This window comes from Homo sapiens, chromosome 4, assembly GCF_000001405.40.
Source record: "Homo sapiens chromosome 4, GRCh38.p14 Primary Assembly".
Taxonomy (NCBI): domain Eukaryota; kingdom Metazoa; phylum Chordata; class Mammalia; order Primates; family Hominidae; genus Homo; species Homo sapiens.
Genome location: NC_000004.12, coordinates 89,518,249 through 89,537,437, shown reverse-complemented (window position 1 = coordinate 89,537,437; position 19,189 = coordinate 89,518,249).

The window sequence follows — 19,189 nt, the reverse complement described above, 5'->3', positions numbered from 1 at the left end:
AGAAAAACTGCACTCTTAACAATGTAAAGAAAAATTACATGTTGGCTTTACTCTTATTTTTATGGCTCATAAGCAAACAAACAATAATTTGCCTATTTCTTAGTCCTGAAGTGGTTTATATTAATGCTATAAGAGAATCTCACCTCCCTAAAAGCAATTTCAGTTTAAAGAACTTGAAGCTTTTTCATCCAACTCTAGGTTCATTAGTCTTCCTAGACTCATTTCTTCTCCTGTGAATTGCAAATTATTTGCCTATTTATTCAGGAACATACCATACCTGAAGAAAGTCCTTTGGCTCAATACTGGCTTTTTCTTTACATACACACACAAGCACACAAAAAAATCTAGCTTAATTGCCAACTGGTATCTAATCTTATTTCAAAATAACTCATAGTCTTTTACATGAATATATGTCAATACGAGGGAGATGATGATTTCCCTTTTCCAGGACAGAGGATAGAATTGTGTAAGTGTCTGATATCACAGTGATATTAGGAGGACACAAAAAGTCACTTTATGAGTATTTTCTTCTCTTAGGTCTGTCATAGCAAAATACCACAGACTTAAGTACATAGACACTTATTTTTTCTTAGTACTGGAGGCTAGAAGGCAAGGATCAAGGTATTAACAGGCTTGGTTTCCTCTGGGGCCTCTCTCCTTGGCTTGCAGATGGGCACCTTCTCTCTGTGTCCTCATATAGTCTTTCCTGTGTGCACACACATATCTTTGTGTTTTCCTGAGGGTTCAAAGAGAAAAGTTTTTCCTGTAATGTTTTACCTAATGCTTCCCAGAATAGAATTTAGAGTCAGACAAACCTTGGTTTTAATGCAAGCTCTGATTATACTAGCCATAAAAGCTTGGCCAAAATAACTAACTTCTTTGTACCTCAATTTCCCCATTTATGGCATGAAGGAAATCCACTGGAGTGCTTTTGCTGATGGCCCCCCATTGGAGTGCTTTCGCTGGTACTTGTGTTACTACACCAGAGAGCTTTTGCAATAGGATCCCACTGCCCAGCCAGAGTGCTTTTGCAGGGGGCCCCCAGTGCCCCACCAGAGTGTTTTTGATGATGGCCCCTCATAGGAGTACTTGTGCTAGCATCCCTGCTGCCCTAGCAGAGTGCTTTCAATGGATGCCCCATCACCCCACTGAAGTGCTTTAACAAGAGATTCCTGCGCCCCCACAGGAGTGCTTTTGTCAGCAGCCCCTGACATAGCAATTTTGCCAGCAGCCTGGGAGCACCTTGACCCCTCCAATGCAGCTTGTCCTTGACCTCTGTGGGGATCCAGAGGACAAACCCATGTGCCTAGTCCCAGCCCCCCAGAGTTAGATCACACAGCCCAGGAGTGCCAAGCTGAGCCTTGGTCCTCTGAAAGCATCCAGAAATGAAGACAATCAGCTACATCCAAATTACACCATAGTCAAACCCTCAAGGAAATAAAGAACATAAAAACAGAAAGCCTCATCCAAAGGACAGCAACTTCAAAGGATAAAGAAATATCAGCTTTCACAGATTAGAAAGAACCAGTGTAAGAACTCTGGCAACTCTAAAATCCAGAGTGTCACCTTACCCTCAAATGATCACACTAACTCTCCAGCAATGGTTCCAAACAAGATAGAAATGGCTGAAATGACAAACATAGAATTCAGAATCAGGATGGCAAGGAAGCTCAATGAGATACAGGAGGAAGTTGAAACCCAACCCATGAAAAAGAGTAAAATGATCCCAGAATTGAAAGACAACATAGCCATTTTTAGAAAGAACAAAACTGAACTTGTGGAACTGAAAAATTCACGACAAGAATTTCATAACACAGATGGAAGCACTAACAATGGAATTGACCAAGCTGAGGAAAGAATCTCAGAGTTTGAAGACAACTCCTCAAATCAATGCAGGCAGACAAAAATAAAGAAAAAAGAACTTTAAAAAACTAACAAAACCTCTGAGAAATACAAGATTATGTAAAGAGACCAAACCTATGACTCATTGACGTTCCTGAAAGGGAAGGAAACAGGAGAGAGAGTAAGAAACTTGGAAAACGTATTTGAGGATACAGTCCATGAAAATTTCCCCAATTTCACTAGAGAGGTTAACAGGCAAATTCAACAAACTCAGTAAACCCCTGTGAGATACTATACAAGATAACCATCCCCAAGACACACAGTCATCAGATTCTCCAAGATCAACATGAAAGAAAAACATCTTAAAGTCACCTAGATAGAAGTCATAGACCACCTACAAAGGGAACCCCATTGGGCTTACAGCATACCTCTCAGCAGAAACCTTACAAGCTAAAAGAGACCAAGGCCTTATTTTCAGCATCCTTAAGGAGAAGTAAGACCAACCAAGAATCTTAATATTCTGCTAAACTAAGCTTCTTAAGAAAAGGAGAAATAAAATCCATTTCAGACAACCAAACTCTAAGGGAATTTACTAGTGCTAGACCTGCTGTATAAGAGGTTCTTAAGTGTGTTTTTGTGGTGGCATGTTTCTTTTGCTTCCATGTTTAACATTCCCCTAAGTACACAGCCCACTGACACTATAAAGAAACTACACAATAAAGTCTAATCAAGCTAACAACACAATGATAGGATCAAATCCTCGCATGTCAATATTAACCTTGAATGTAAATGGGCTAAACACCCTAATTAAAAGACATAGAGTTGCAAGTTGGATAAAGAAGCAAGATCCAGGCCAGGCATGGTGGCTCACATCTGTAATTCCAGCACTTTGGGAGGCTGAGGCAGGAGGATCTCTTGAACCTAAGAGTTTGGGACCAGCCTGGGAAACATAGTAAAACACTGTCTCTACAAAAAAAAATAAGAATAATAAGTTTTTAAAATTATTAGCTTGCAGAGGTGGAAAGAGGTGGAATTTATGACTCAGTCCCAGAAACAATTGAAACAAAAACAAAAATTGAGAAGTGGGACCTAATCAAACCAAAGAGCTTTGGCATAGCAAAAGAAAGAGTAAACAGACAAACTACAGAATGAGAGAAAACATTTGCAAACTATGTATCTGATGAAGGTCTAATATCCAGAATCCATAAGGAATTTAAACAATTGAACAAGCAAAAAACAAATATCCCCATTAAAATAATGGGCAAAGGACATGAACACACTTCTCAAAGAAGACATACATGTGGCCAACAAACATGAAGATAATGTTCAACATCACTAACCATTAGAGAAATACAGATCAAAATCACAATGAGATACTCTCTTAGAACAGTCAGAATGGCTATTGTTAAAAACTCAAAAAATTACAGATGTTCGTGAGGTTGTAGAGAAAAGGGAATGCTTATAGTCTATTGGTAGGAATGCAAATTAGTTCAGCCACCATGGAAAGCAGTTTGGGAATTTCTCAAAAGAGTTTAAAACAGAGCTACCACTTGACCCAGCAATTCCATCACTGGGTGTATACCCACAGGAAAATAAACTGTTATACATGCACATATATGTTCATCACAGCACTATTCACAATAGTAAATACAGGGAATCAACCTAGATGCCCATCAACAGTGGACTATATAAAGAAAATGTGGTACATATACATCATGGAATACTATGCACCCATTAAAAATGAGATTATGCCCTTTGCAGTAACATGGATGTAGCTGGAGGCCATTAACCTAAGTGAATTGATATAGGAACAATAAACCAAATACTACATGCTCTCACTTTTAAGTGAGTACACACAGACACAAAGATGGGAAAAATAGACACTGAGGACTACTACTGGGGTAAGGGTGGGAGCAAGGTGAGGGCTGAAAAACTAACTTACAGGGTACTATGCTCACCACCTGAGTCACAGGATCATTCCTACACCAGTCTTCACGAGATGACATGCAACTTACCTATGTAACAAACCTGCATGTGTATCCCCTGACCCTAAAAGTTGAAAATAAATAAATAAAATAAATATAAAATATCTACCTTTTAGTGTCACAGAATGATTAAACATCAGAATATATATACATATATATGCATATATATTGCTTAGCACAGCACCTGGGACACCTTGGGATGTAATATTAGCACAAAGAGGCTAAGAGATCTCCTTTGGGAGGCAGACTCTGACACTCACTAACTTAGTGACTCTGGACAAGGTCTGCAACATCCTCTACCACACTTTCCTCATCTCTCTCTCCCTTTCCCTTTCTTTCTCTCTTTGTGTATGTGTGTCTCATCACTCATTCTGAAGGAAGCCATTGACATGTCCTAAAGACTCAGGTAGCCTATGAACAGACTTACTTGGCAAGGAATAAAGGTCTCCATCTAACAGCCAGTAGGAACTGATGCCTGCCAACAATCATGGGAGTGAGCCTGGAAGTGGATCTTTCAATTGCAACAGAGTCTGAGGGTGACTGCCAGTGAAGCTAGAAGTTCTCCTGCAACCTCACGAGAATCTGAACCAGCCAGTCCGGAAGACCTTTTGGATCCCTGGCCCTCAGAAACTGCAGATTATAATGAATAAGTGTTATTTTAAGTTGCTAAGTTTTGTGGTAATTTATTACTCAGCAGTAGTTAACTGTTTTCCCCCTACAACATTGAAGATAAAGACAAATAACCAGGTAGACAGAAAGTCTTTTTGTTTTTCTCAGATGGCTCCTACACTTTCCCCTGGGAGTTTTTAAACATTATTAACCTTTATTTATAAAGACTTCAGGTTTGGAACAATTCTCACAAAGTGAAAAATCTGGTCAACATGATGACTCCAGACCCTTTTTTCATTTATTTTCATATCTGTAAAGAAGGAATATTTTTCATCACAGATTATATATGGACTGATAGAAAAGCCTGATGTAAAGTGAATCCAAGAGTGGGAAAAAACCCTTAAGGTTAAAGTAATGTTGTACCAACTTGGGAATTTTATAAAAATAGCCTGTGTCTATAATTTTATTGAAAACTAGACCAAAGAAGCAAACCAAAATTGAAAGCATTGAGTTATTACTTTCCTGCTCTGACAGCACAAAGAAATCATTCTATATCTAGAAGGGCCCTCAGGCTTTCTACTGACTAAATTGTACATATGATAAGGCTAACTGAACATGACATTTTATATGATACTGACATTATACTGAAACTAGTCTAGAAGCCAGTTTTTTTTTTAATGCCACTGATTTCCTTGGAGAAATAATAGAAATAATCTTCCAAACTGTTACTTTTTTTTCTCCACCCTTGGTACCTTTCCAAAAGGGCTCCAGCTTCCCTTTAAGGCAGACAATGGATGAGATGATTTGGGCTTTTCGATGTATTGTTGCTTGTTTGGCAATTAGCTCCTTATCTCTTGGGAAATGTAATTTGGAATGATGAGATCTTTTAATTTCATATCATGGAACATAGATAGATGTAACCAGAATGCCCAGACCTATCCTTGTCAGAGGGCTGTGGAAGCACAAAAACACCTTTGTAGTCCTGAGAGCAGCATCAGAGCCCATCAATGACCTGTCACAATTTCACCTGTCAAGACCCTTGGCAAAGGCATCACCGTATTGAATCTTTCCCTGAGATCTTAATCTGATAAATTATTTGCCTTTCCCCAACCCCAATTACTTTGTCAGTGTATTTATTCCACCATTCTGTTATTCTACCTGTTAATATTGTTGTTTGTATACTTGTCTTTATTTCACAAAGATGAATTGCCAGTAATTTTGCTTGACTTTGGGAATACAATTACAAAGGAGATATACAGTTCCTTAGCAGGACAAAGAGGATGCCACAGAGATCCTCACAATCCAGCAGAAACATTCTCCTTTCCTATCTTCTTTCAAAATATTGCCTGTCTCACCCCCTGTAACAGTCAGAGATAAACATTGAGAAGGGGACTATAATTAAAACCCATTACTCACCTTTCTGTAAGAAATCATACAGATGAATCGCATCATATTTAAAACATTCTTCCATAGACACAAGAACTCCTAGTCTTCCAGTCCCCTATCTCTACCTCTGTATGTATAGCCCCCTAAGCTTACTCAGCCTCCCATCCTGAATGTCTTTGTGCTTCCACTGTGCCCTCCAGTATGGCATCTGCAAAAAAGCCTGTATCCTCAAGTTATCTGAATGATCCTATAACTTTCTTGCTTAGCCAAAACCAGCTGAAGGTTTGCTATGCCCTAATGACATTACTTTTCCCACATGGTCACAAATGGAGAAAGTTTGTTCTCCCTCTTTACACAGAACACTGGGAGGAGGCAGGTTGGTGTCCTCCTTGTTCTCTATTACAGCTTCGAAATTAATGTTCCTCCCCTCGCCAAAAACAAACACACAAAGAAACTACATGAAACATATGCCATCTGACACCACATTTCATTTTCACAGATATCTACCATCCACCCAGGCAGTTCTTTTTCTTTTTGTTTTCTTTTCTTCTTTTTTTTTTTTTTTTTTTTTTTTTGGAGACAGAGTCTCACTCTGTCACCCAGGCTGGAGTGCGGTGGCGCAATCTCAGCTCACTGCAACCTCCACCTCCCAGGTCCAAGCAATTCTCCTGCCTCAGCCTCCCAAGTAGCTGGGACTGCAGGCACATGTAACCATGCCTGGCTAATTTTTGTATTTTTAGTAGAGATGAGGTTTCACTATGTTGGCCAGGCTGGTCTCGAACTCCTGACCTCAGCTGATCCACTCACCTAGGTCTCCCAAAGTGCTGAGATTACAGGCATGAGCCACCGCACCCAGCCCCGCCCAGGAATGTCTATATTTATTGATGATTTTAGCACTTGTCTCCAAGTCCTTATTCCCTCAGAATTTCTGTTATTGTTCATGGTGACTTTAATATCTCTAGATGATTCACTGAAACTTCTCACTCTGCAGGTCCTTAATTCTTTCCACGTCCAGTGTCTTACACTGATGTTCATGGTTATATCTTAGACCAGAGGGTGGACAAACTATGGCCCATAGCCAAACTGAGTCCACTGTCTGTTTTTGTAAAGACTGAAAATGAAGGATGGTGTTTATATTTTTAAGCAGAACACAGCCAGGTTCATTCGTGTATATATTGTCGATGACTGCTTTCATGTTCCAACAGCAGAGCGAGTAATCGAGACAGATTTATTGCCTACAAAGTGGAAAATAGTTACTATCTGGTCTTTTACTTAAAGGTTTGTTGATCCCTGCCTCCTAGACCTTCTTATTACCGATAACTTCAACACTCAAATCTTAAACCAGCTTAAGTATAGATAAATAAATACATAGATAGATAGATAGATAGATAGATAGATAGATAGATAGATAGATAAAGACTTATTGCAGGATTGCAAGGCTACGGAGTAGCTAACAGACTAAAAAAAAAAAAAAGGAAAATCTAAAGGAACTATAACAGGGAAATCACACAACATTCTTGTCCCTACTCCTCTCTGTGGGTTGTTTATTGCCTTAACTTGTGGACAATTTTATCCACCAGTAAGTTGGGATGGGGAAGGGCAATCATGGATCTAGTATCTGTTTTGGGTTTACATTGTCCCAGTTTAGTGATCCAGAGGGAAAAAAAAAGAGCTTCTCTTTTTACTTGGTCATATAAAATTCCAGGGAAGAAATCGAATTGTCCTGGCTTAAGTCACACACCATTTGATAAACAACCCCAGTTGTATGGATAGAGTGTTATGATTTGTCAGACTAGGTCATATGAGCTCCCTGGTGGCTGGACAGGGGTTTGGGTGGCAGCATACCCTATGGACATTCCTACAATAACTACAAAAGGTGGTTAAGGAATATATTCCAGAACACAAGTGAGGGTACGTGGTGCTCCTACCAGAAGAAGGGGGAAGGGATTAATAACCAATCCTCTCCCTCCCAAAAAAGATATCCACTCTATTTTCTTGTGAAGATTGTAGTCTTTAGGTGCTTTATCCTTGGGCATTTAAAGGAAAATATAAATTACATAGAATTTTTAATGACAATGAAATAGACATTACAGGGAGGAGACAGAGACCTGCTTGAATTTCTAAATGCCCATTTAGTCCCTATGTAAGGGATGCTAAGCAGTGTTGGGCTACAAGTTAACTTCTGCTAAAGGTGGAATTTGCTTGATATTCATAAAATCCTGGAACCCTTGGTTGGCACGGTGCACTTGGCCTTAGGGGCGCATCTGGGATCATCTGCTGTGGGCGGGATGGAACAATTATTTTAAAGAAGGTGGGAAATACTCTAACACCTTTTTATAAGATTGTTAGCAGAAATCAAGAGTCTTTGGGGGCACCGTGCTACATCCTTAAATATACAAAAGGACAAGTTTCATCCAATTTCTAATTATGTAATTTTTAGATAAAAGAGCTTCTCCTGGAAATTCCCAGATATTACAGGTCTTGTCTATTCTTGCAAAATGTGTTAACTATGTGTAAACTCTCAACTGAGTATAGCCACACATAGCCTTATAGTACCTTACTGAGGCACACTAATTACATACAGCCTTTAACACTATCTATGCCTGAAAGAAGAAAGAACTATCAGAAAGGAATGTAGAGTTTCCTGCCTATGAAAGATTTGCTGTAATTCTCTTCTGAATTGGCCCTTACTTGCTAGTATAGAAATCCACACATAACTGCAATGTGATGGGACAGGATAGTCCCATCCTAACAAAGGAGAAGGGGATATGGTTCCTTCCGTTTTCCCCCCAGAATCCAGTAGGGGAGCATTAGGAGAGGAGGGCCGCCACACAAACCACAGCACAGCAGAGGACGCAACCACACTAGAAAAGTCTTTGATGAAGAACACACATCAGACATTTTACATATAAACATCAGTAAGCTCAACCACAGTGAGAGGAAACAGGTGCCTTAAAAGAGGAGACAGAGGGTTTGTGGCATTTTGAAGAAGTAGTTAGACATGAGTCTCACTTTATTGGATATTCTTTAAAATTTGCTTGAAACTTTGAAAGCTTTCAATAATTTTCATGTCCGAGGGAGGGGAGAGTTGGTTTAATAGAAAATTATAATTGTTCCTTTTTGTGTGAACTGAAAGGGTGTTTTCATGATGAAAGTCATCTTCATTTGGTTTTATAAATTTAACTTAGTATACTGATGTTTCTTTAAACAAGAAGCAAATGATATATATATACATACATATGTTCATTTGCTTAAATGAACATATATATGTTCATTTGCTTAAATGAACATATATATGTTCATTTGCTTAGTATAAGACAGACATATATACATATATATTCATTTGCTTATAGAATATATATATATATTTACTTTAAGTTCTGGGATACACGTGTAGAACATGCGGGTTTGTTACATAGGTGTACATGTGCCATGGTGGTTTGCTGCACCTGTCAACCCATCATCTAGGTTTTAAGCTCTGCATGCATTAGGTATTTGTTCTAATGCTCTCCCTCCCCTTGCCCACCATCCTCTGACAAGCCCTGGTGTGTGATGTTCCCCTCCCTGTGTCCATGTGTTCTCATTGCTCACCTCCCACTTATGAGTGAGAATATGTGGTGTTTGGTTTTCTTTTTTTTTTTTTTTTTTTTTTGAGACGGAGTTTTGCTCTCTTGCCCAGGCTGGAGTGCAGTGGTGCGATCTCGGCTCACTGCAAGCTCCGCCTCCCAGGTTCACGCCTTTCTCCTGCCTCAGCCTCCTGAGTAGCTGGGACTACAGGCGCCCGCCACCACGCCTGGCTAATTTTTTGTATTTTTAGTAGAGACGGGGTTTCACCGTTGTTAGCCAGGATGGTCTCTATCTCCTGACCTTGTGATCCACCCACCTCAGCCTCCCAAAGTGCTGGGATTACAGGCATGAGCCACCACGCCCTGCCGGTGTTTGGTTTTCTGTTCCTGTGTTAGTTTGTTGAGAATGATGGCTTCCAGCTTCATCCACGTCCCTGCAAAGGACATGAACTCATTCTTCTCGTGGTTTTTTTGTTTGTTTTTGTTTTGAGATGGAGTCTTACCCTGTCTTGAAGGCTGGAGTGCAATGGTGCAACCTCAGCTCACTGTAATCTCCGCTTCCGGGGTTCAAGTGATTCTCCTGCCTCAGCCTCCCGAGTAGCTGGCATTACAGGTGTGCGCCACCACGCTTGGCTAATTTTTTGTATTTTTAGTAGAGATTGGGTTTCATCATGTTGACCAGGCTGGTCTCAAACTTTTGACCTCATGATCCACCTGCCTTGGCTTCCCAAAGTGCTGGGATTACAGGCATGAGCCACTGTGCCTGGCTGAACTCATTCTTTTTTTATGGCTGCATAGTATTCTATGGTATATATGTGCCATATTTTCTTTATCCAGTCTATCATTGATGGGCATTTGAGTTGGTTCCAAGTCTTTGCAATTGTGAATAGTGCTGCAGTAAACATATGTGTGCATGTGTCTTTACAGTAGAATGATTTATAATCCCTTGGGTATATACCCAACAATGAGATTGCTGGGTCAAATGGTATTTCTGGTTCTAGATCCTTGAGGAATTGCCACACATCTTCCACAATGGTTGAACTAATTTACACTCCCATCAACAGCATAAAAGCGTTCCTATTTCTCCACATCCTCACCAGCATCTGTTGTTTCCTGACTTTTTAATGACTGACATTCTAACTGGCGTGAGATGGTATCTCATTGTGGTTTTGATTTGCATTTCTCTAATGGCCAGTGATGATGAGCTTTCTTTCATATGTTTGTTGGCTGCATAAATGTTTTCTTTTGAGAAGCACTTGTTCATATCCTTTGCCCACTTTTTGATGGGGTTGCTTTTTTCTTGTAAATTTGTTTAAGTTCCTTATAGATTCTGGATATTAAACCTTTGTCAGATGGATAGATTGTAAAAATTTTCTCCTATTCTGTAGGTTGCCTGTTCACTCTGGCGATAGTTTTGTTTGCTGTGCAAAAGCTCTTTAGTTTAATTGGATCCTATTTGTCAATTTTGGCTTTTGTCGCAATTGCTTTTGGTGTTTTACTCATGAAGTCTTTGCCCCTGCCTATGTCCTGAGGGGTATTGCCTAGGTTTTCTTTTAGGTTTTTCATGGTTTTAGGTTTTACAGTTAAGTCTTTAATTCATCTTGACTTAATTTTTGTATAAGGTGTAAGGAAGGGATCCAGTTTCAGTTTTCTGCATATGGCTAAGCCAGTTTTCCCAGCACCACTTATTAAACAGGGAATCCTTTCCCATTGCTTGTTTTTGTCAGGTTTGTCAAAAATCAGATGGCTGTAGATATGTGGTGTTATTTTTGAGGTCTCTTTTCCGTTTCATTGGTCTATATATCTGTTTTGGTACCAGGACCATGCTGTGTTGGTTACCGTAGCCTTGTAGTATAGTTTGAAGTCAGGTAGCATGATGCCTCTAGTTTTGTTGATTTTGCTTAGTATTGTCTTGGCTATATGGGCTCTTTTTTGGTTCCATATGAAATTTAAAGTAGCTTTTTCTAATTCTGTGAAGAAAGTCAATGGTAGCTTGATGGGCATAATATTGAATCTATAAATTACTTTGGACAGTATGGCCATTTTCATGATATTAATTCTTCCTATCCATGAGCATGGAATGCTTTTCCATTTGTTTGTGTCCTCTCTTATTTCCCTGAGCAGTAGTTTGTAGTTCTCCTTGAAGAGGTCCTTCATGTCCCTTGTAAGTTGTATTCCTTAGTATATTATTCTCTTTGCAGCAATTGTAAATGGGAGTTCACTCATGATGTGGCTCTCTGCTTGTCTATTATTGGTGTATAGGAATCCTTGTGATTTTTACACATTGATTTTGTATCCTGAGACTTTGCTGAAGTTGCTTATTAGCTTAAGGAGTTTCTGGGCTGAGATGATGAGGTTTTCTAAATATACAATCATGTCATCTGCAAACGGAGATAATTTGACTTCCTCTCTTCCTATTTGAATACCCTTTATTTCTTTCCCTTGCCTGATTGCCCTGGCCAGAACTTCCAACACTATGTTGAATAGCAGTGGTGAATATTTTGAGGGACATGTGAAGCAAGACTCTTACCACCATTAATTGGGATATGAATGAAGTAAGGTAGGACTAGTCAGGTCAGCTATTATACTAACTGAAATAAAATTATGATTTCATCTTTACAGTACCATATGTACTTATGACCATCAGTCTTGGCTATTCTTATTTATATGAGAATATAATAATGAAAATAATTAATACCTCAAAATCAGGGAACCAAAGGGAAGAAAAAATCACCCAAATCAAAATTCCACTTTTGAAGAAAGCTTAATTTCATAGGAGAGGCCCAACTAAAAGAATACAATTTAAAGTTAGGCAAGCAGAATATAATGCCAAGGTTTTGGTGTATGTACTATATCTATAAACAGATACGCATATTAAAAATAACAAAGGGAAATTCATCAAAATATTCATGGGAATTATATTAATAGTAATAAAAATTTCTGAGTGATAAAAAAATTAGTGATTTTAAATATTATTTTTATTTTTCAAATTCTACACAGTGAGGTTATATCGTTCACATAATTTTAAAAAGCCAAAAAAAAAGGATTTAAAAAAGTTAAAAGAGGCAGTATATACTTAAAAGCCAAATCATTTTTAACAGATGGGCATCTATACTTTAGAAAGAAGTTGCAGCATGGAAAACTATTGGTGATCTATTTCAGTTTTTCTATAGTTAGCCATAAGCCTTTCAATAGGTGACCTAAATTTCCTACATTATGAGTGAGCAGCAGCAAAAGTAACTATCTCTTCTGATTCATAATTAAGCAGCATATTTAATAGTCCTATTGATTTGGTTAAGTAATAAACTCATCATTTTATCATCAATTTGATTTTGAAGGGTTTTTTGGCACAAAATTGTAACTGTTAACCATATTTTCTTTCTCTTAGGTTAAGAAACAAACCCAACACTATTACAGTGTTTTCACAGGGATCTGTAAAGAATGTCTGAGGCAAGGCACAGTGGCTCACGCCTGTAATCCCAGCACTTTGGGAGGCTGAGGCGGGCAGACCACTTCAGGTCATGAGTTCGAGACAAGCCTGCCCAACATGGTGAAACCCTATCTCCACTAAAAATAGAAAAATTAGTCAAGCATGTTGGCACTCGCCTGTAATCCCAGCTACTCAGGAGGCTGAGGCAGAAGAATCACTTGAACCCAGGAGGCGGAGGTTGCAGTGAGCCGAGATCACGCCACTGCACTCCAGCCTGGGCAATAGAGTGAGTGAGACTCTGTTCGCCCACCAAAAATAAAAGAATGTCTGAGGCCTACAATTACGCTACGAGAACTAATAAAAATATTCTCTATTCAGAATAAGGAAAGGGAGTTTTGAATTGCTGTTTCTACTACCAACCTCCTACTCCCACTGCTTCTTCAGGATCCACATCAGTAACAGCAGAGGGGCCTTGGGGAACACATATCTAATATCCCCAGTGGCCAATTGACCCCCATCTTAAACCAGGTGAGCATCCATGAAAACAGCCACCCTTGCCACTCTAAGCAAATACCCATGAAAGATCATTCAGAGCTCTCATATATTAGTGAATTATGTATCACTGTGCCTGTCCTGTTTTCCTTTCAACTCTATTGTAGTATTGATTGACCTTGGATTTTTCTACAGCTGCAAAGACGTTTTGGTTCCACTTTACTTATGACTATGTTTTCTCTTATTGTTTCTGTGTATTCTTCCTCCAAAACTTGTCTCCCTTTAGACAACATTATTAGGTTTAATCCCAAGTGAATAGTAACCAAAATAATGATTAAAATGTATAATTAGAAATTTGCAGGAGTAGATATTGGAAAATGAGGGTATCTATTTAAATTATGGAGGAAACTAGATGATGGCAATTACAGCATATTTAAATTTATGGGATGGATAGATTTCAATGTTATCACTGTAGTTCTGTGTGTATTTGTATAAACTAATTTATATGAACTAATGTCAAAAGTCTGAAATTGAGTCCTACTCTTCCTGGCTCATTTATAGAAAAACTGGCTGCATGGCCTTTGCAAGTCCCTTCATCTTTCTGCATTTCAGTTTCCTCATAGGTGGGAGGAATTTACTTACCTATTACCTAAGTATCCTTCATACATAAAATTCGATTATTCTGAGATCTTTCCCTATTCTTCCTCTCATATTTAATTGAAGTAAAGGTCCCATCAGTCTCATAGCTCCCTTCATCTGTTATTAAACAAGGATGGCTCTGTGTTCTCGTCTGTTCTAAAGGTCTCTTAAAGAGAAATCAAATTTTTTGAGATTCTCAAGTCCTGATTGACTGAGACCTTTACATCCTAACAATAGCTATTTGATATAGTCACTGGATAAGGCAAAGATTCTTCTGTTGATGTGTGTAAGTGCCTGTGAGTTCAGCCAGCAAAAAATCCATTTGATTGAATAGTCTTAGCACTAAACAAGGTCTCATCCCAAGGGATGTAAGGTAAGATAAAGTGTTGGGTCATCTTTTGTTGAAATCTTTGTACAATCCAAATGCCTTAGCTGATAACTTCATAGGCATTGGGGATATAGTTAAGGTAGATTTATTTTTTTTAATGAATTCTATAGTTTCTCGAATAACCATAGCAGCAATCATTGAGGGAATAAGCCATCCCCTAACATTGCAGTCAAAAATAAATAATGCAGATATTCTGTATTTCATAAAATTCTGCATAGTGAGAGAAACAGAAATATATATATTTTAAGTGAACTTACACATACTGATCCAAAACTTTTATATCTTAACAGCTTATGGACATATATGATAAAATCAAGTCATTATTCTAAACTTATTAGCCAAATGGTTTATCAGCAGTTGGACAACTTTATGGTAAAGGGAGGTCTACATTTCAGGCTGAGACATTCCTAATTGGAAATGTATAAAAAAGTCCAAAAAATCCCAAATGAAATTTTAAAATATCTCTGTGATGAGGACTTTTATTTATAAAGCTTTCAATATTTTTAAAGCATCTGAATATTACTTTTAATGGTTTAATGACATTATTAACATCTAATCCCATGCCTTTATGCCTTTTTCCAAAAGTTCAACAGGCATTTTGCTAAAATCATGAAATCTTAAACTTGATAAGCTGTAGGAAATGACTTTCTCTCATTGTTTTTTCTTTTTGTTTCTTTTTTTTGCTTGACTCTTGTCCATTCTTAAACATCTGTTCAGCAAAGCTTTTCCTAACTCCATTTCCCCTGATAGATTAACCACTACCTCATTTCTGTTTTTCCTTTACCTTGGATATATTTGTGACATGCATGCACCATTCCATGCTTTAATGGTTTGCATATCTGTCTCCCCCGTAATGCTGTCGTGTCCATCTCTGTGTCCCTAGTACAAGGCACGGGGCCTGGCATACAATATGGGCTCAGTACATATCATTGAACTTGTGAGAAAACTGAGACTCAGAGAGAGGCTGTTGTTTTCTTCAGATAATGTAGGTCATTTATAACAGTGTTTGTACTGGGATTCAAATGACCTACCCTTAGCACGATGCCCCTCACTTAATTCATACATATTGAAGGAATTAACGAATCAGCATATTAATAAATCAATTGTTCTTGAGCACTTTCCATTGCACTATCCTAGTCAAATAATAAATATAACATTTTTTTTAACGAGTCTTCTGGCTACCTGGCTTCAGTGAAACAAGTAATGAGGAAATGAGATTAATAAAACATCAATGAGACCAGATATTTCACATACATTTGATTATTATAGCCTCATAGAGATATAGTTTATATCAATCAGATATGCTAAAATTTATCTGGTAATAAAATTCTATTGTTAACATCTAACAGTCTAAGCTAGTGATCTGAGAGACAACTTTCTCACCAAGTCGAATATCTATCCAGTCAACACAGCTATCCCAGGATTCTTGTTTGGAAAATGAATCCTCTTGGGCATGGATCAGTCCATGTGTCACAGATGGTTTATGGATAGTTTGCTGGTTTCCCTTTTGTTCTGAAAGCAAAGAGGTAACTTTTGTATTGAATTGAATGCTAAGCAACAGCTCACTTGACTTTAAGGGCCATAATATGTTTTGGGTATATCCCTTCTCAGAAATGAAGCAAGAACCCTCTTCCCTCGGATAGCCACAGGGCTTCCACTCTGATGTCAATCAAATACCTGTGCATACCTTGCCTTACCAGAGAGGTCTATCCACACTTACCTTTTCTAAAATAGGACCACACTCTGGCTTTCCCCTTCATCATCCCCTTTCCCTGCTTTTCTTGCAACTATTATCACCTAACACTCTTATTTTCTCAGTTTTTGTTATTACATATGTGTATATAATATGTTTATGCTGTCCAGAGCTTACACATTCAATATTTTTGGGGTAATTAGTAAGCAATGTCATAGATACACCAGAAATTCTGTTGGGAGTAAAATTCAGATTCAAGATTTTAAAATTGTTAAGGACATTGTAGGTCATGTGGTACAAACTATTTATTTTGTAAGTATGAAATCCAATGCTAATAATAACAGCTTTTTAATTGCACATTTCATGTTCCAGGCACTGAGTAAAGCGCTTTACATGCGTAAACTCTTGTGACACTTTGGCAATTTTATAAGAGGGATCTTGTAATTATATTTTATTAATTTAAAAATAAGCATTTTCTACATTTCAATTTTAACGTTTTAAAATTATCAAAATTGAAATCAGAATGATTATTATCTTCAAGCATTTTGGAATTTGCTTATGTGAGTTTGGAAAATAGAAGAAGTAAAAAAAATCAAACAGAAGGTCTTTGTTTAAATAAAGTAATAAACTAGATTACTGTGTTTACCGATGTGTCATTTTTCAAGAAAAGGATGTAAAAATAAATTTGCTAGTAATGTAGCTTCTATTTTTCTCTGATCTGTTAAGAAAGAAGACTTCACAATCCTTCAAATGCAAGAACCACGTCCTCATCCCCTCTATCATGTACAATGTGTGAAACATCATTTTTCCAGTGCTGGTATGAGACTCTACCATATGGAAGAGTGGCTGGAACAACCAAGATCATGGGTCCTGACACCGTTTTCCAAGGTAACAAGGTAAAAACCAGGGGACATTGACAAGGAAAATTTATAAGTAGAATGACAAAGTTAAATTTCAGAAGCCCAAAGTGGAGTGGATAAGGTTAAAAGGCAGAGCTGCTATCCAAATAGCTCAACAAAGTAGAAAGTGTGATTAGAATAAAAGATTGGGGTCAGCTTTGACAAAATCAACCTTGGCAAGGGGATGGACAGATTCTGACAATTGTGCCCCCTGACAACCAAGCATGAGTGATTTTTAATTGTCGGACACAGCTGTGTGCCCCTACGATCCCTGGCTTTAGGAGACAATAAGCCTCTGAGATACTTTCCACTCCACAGGGAGCAGACCCTGGTGACAGCACTTGGGTGGGTCCTCCTGGAGCACTAATCATTCTAACAACCAATATCTGGCTAATGAAATAGATGAAATTAGAAATCTACCAAAAGACTCAAGAGACAAGAAGATGTCAGGCATAACCTTCAATGAACAACTCTTCACAAACACATGTTAACATGCTGCACAACAGCCTTTTTCTTGGGTCTCGAGAGTACCAGAGTGACAGATTATCATGTGCACAGTAATCCAAGTGGATGACATTCTGTCAAGGCTGTCCTAATTACAGTCTTGTATTTATGACACAGCAATCAGGAAGACCATTCTCAACTCTAATCCCTGTTGTTTTGTAGGCTAGTCATTCAGCTTCCAAATAAAGCTACCTCAGAAAAAAAGCCCATTTGTAAAATTAAAGTGATCAGGTTAAAGTGATAATATGAACAAGTATTTATTAATTTATGAATACGAAGGTTTTCTTCTAACACAAAAATATCTTAATGAATGTAATCACACTTGGCAATCCCTGCTAGACACTTATGAGTAAGAATAAATGCTCATGAAAAACTGCTCTTGGTTTTCAACAGTTCTACATTTCAAAAAATAAAAAGCTCAGCAGTTAACTGCTGCAGTGATGATGCAGAGGATTCAGCCTTCCACTTGAATATTTCAGCCTGCCATCACTGTTTCTTCACCAGATGAATGCTGGTTTATCCAAGCCACTTGAACAGGGCAACACCGAGTCAGAGGAAGAGTGCTGCCACAGCATCTGAGATGTTGAGTGCAGCTTTAAGCGGCTGTTTGGGGACTGTAAGCCACTGACTGCAGCTAGTCCTTATCGAATGCCTACTATTCACCAGTGAATTTTTAAAGACATTGATATATTTTATCTGATTTCATCCATATATCAAACTTCTAAAGGAGAATTACTTTTCCTCATTTCACAGATAAGGAAACATAGGATTATATTAAATAAAAGTTAAATAATATATCCAAGGTCACACAATTACATGGGGGCAACAGAAAAGTGCCTCTCCCATGGGAGATGGGTACCGGGGCAGGAGGGAGGATGGAATTAGGGATAAAGAAAAAATTTGCTCTGTCTAGATTAAACTAATAAGATCCATATGCAATATCTGTGTATCAGCCTTTTATAGGAGTATAGAATTAGGGATAAAGGAAAAATTTGCTCTGCCTGGATGAAACTAGTAAGATCCATATGCAATATCTGTGTATAAGCCTTTTATAGAAGTAAACTCCAACTTTTGTTTTCTAATTTTTTTCTTTTTTGGTTTTATGAAGTATGACTAAAGACATTTTAAGATTTTGTAAACACCAGAATCTTGAGTCAACATCAGGCAGTTATTTTCAGAAAATATATAACTGGAATAGAATTGGAATTTTTGAATTTAGAATATTACCCACTTGTATTGTACTGTGTTTATAGTAGTATTTGTCAGAGCAGAGTAGGGGGGATTGTCAGTCCAGAGAACAAGAGACCCAAACAGCTAGAAGCCAGCTATGCCCATTCAGAACTTCATACTTGTGGAGGCAGACATGGCCTCATCATGAAGAAGGTGCATCAGCCTGGTTTGACAATATGCCATGAAGCACGGGAATTGTAAAACTCCCCTTGTTTTGATCCACGCTCACCAGGCAGGCTTCTGATGGTAATTTTGCTTCTTGAACATCATATTTAATTGGAAAGATTCTATTGACGCAAGTACTCTAATTTGCTTACCATTGCATTTATTACTGTAAATTAGTCAATCAGAGTTATGGAGATGTGTCAGTTTCCACAAGCTTGAATAACATAAGCCTGCTCCTGAAAGGTATGTCAGTTCTCAGTGTGCTAATAAAACAGCATGAAAATAAGGAGACCAAACTCCAAAATGATGAACTCACCAAATGATTATACCTACACCTGTGTACCGGGCCTTTTCAACTCAG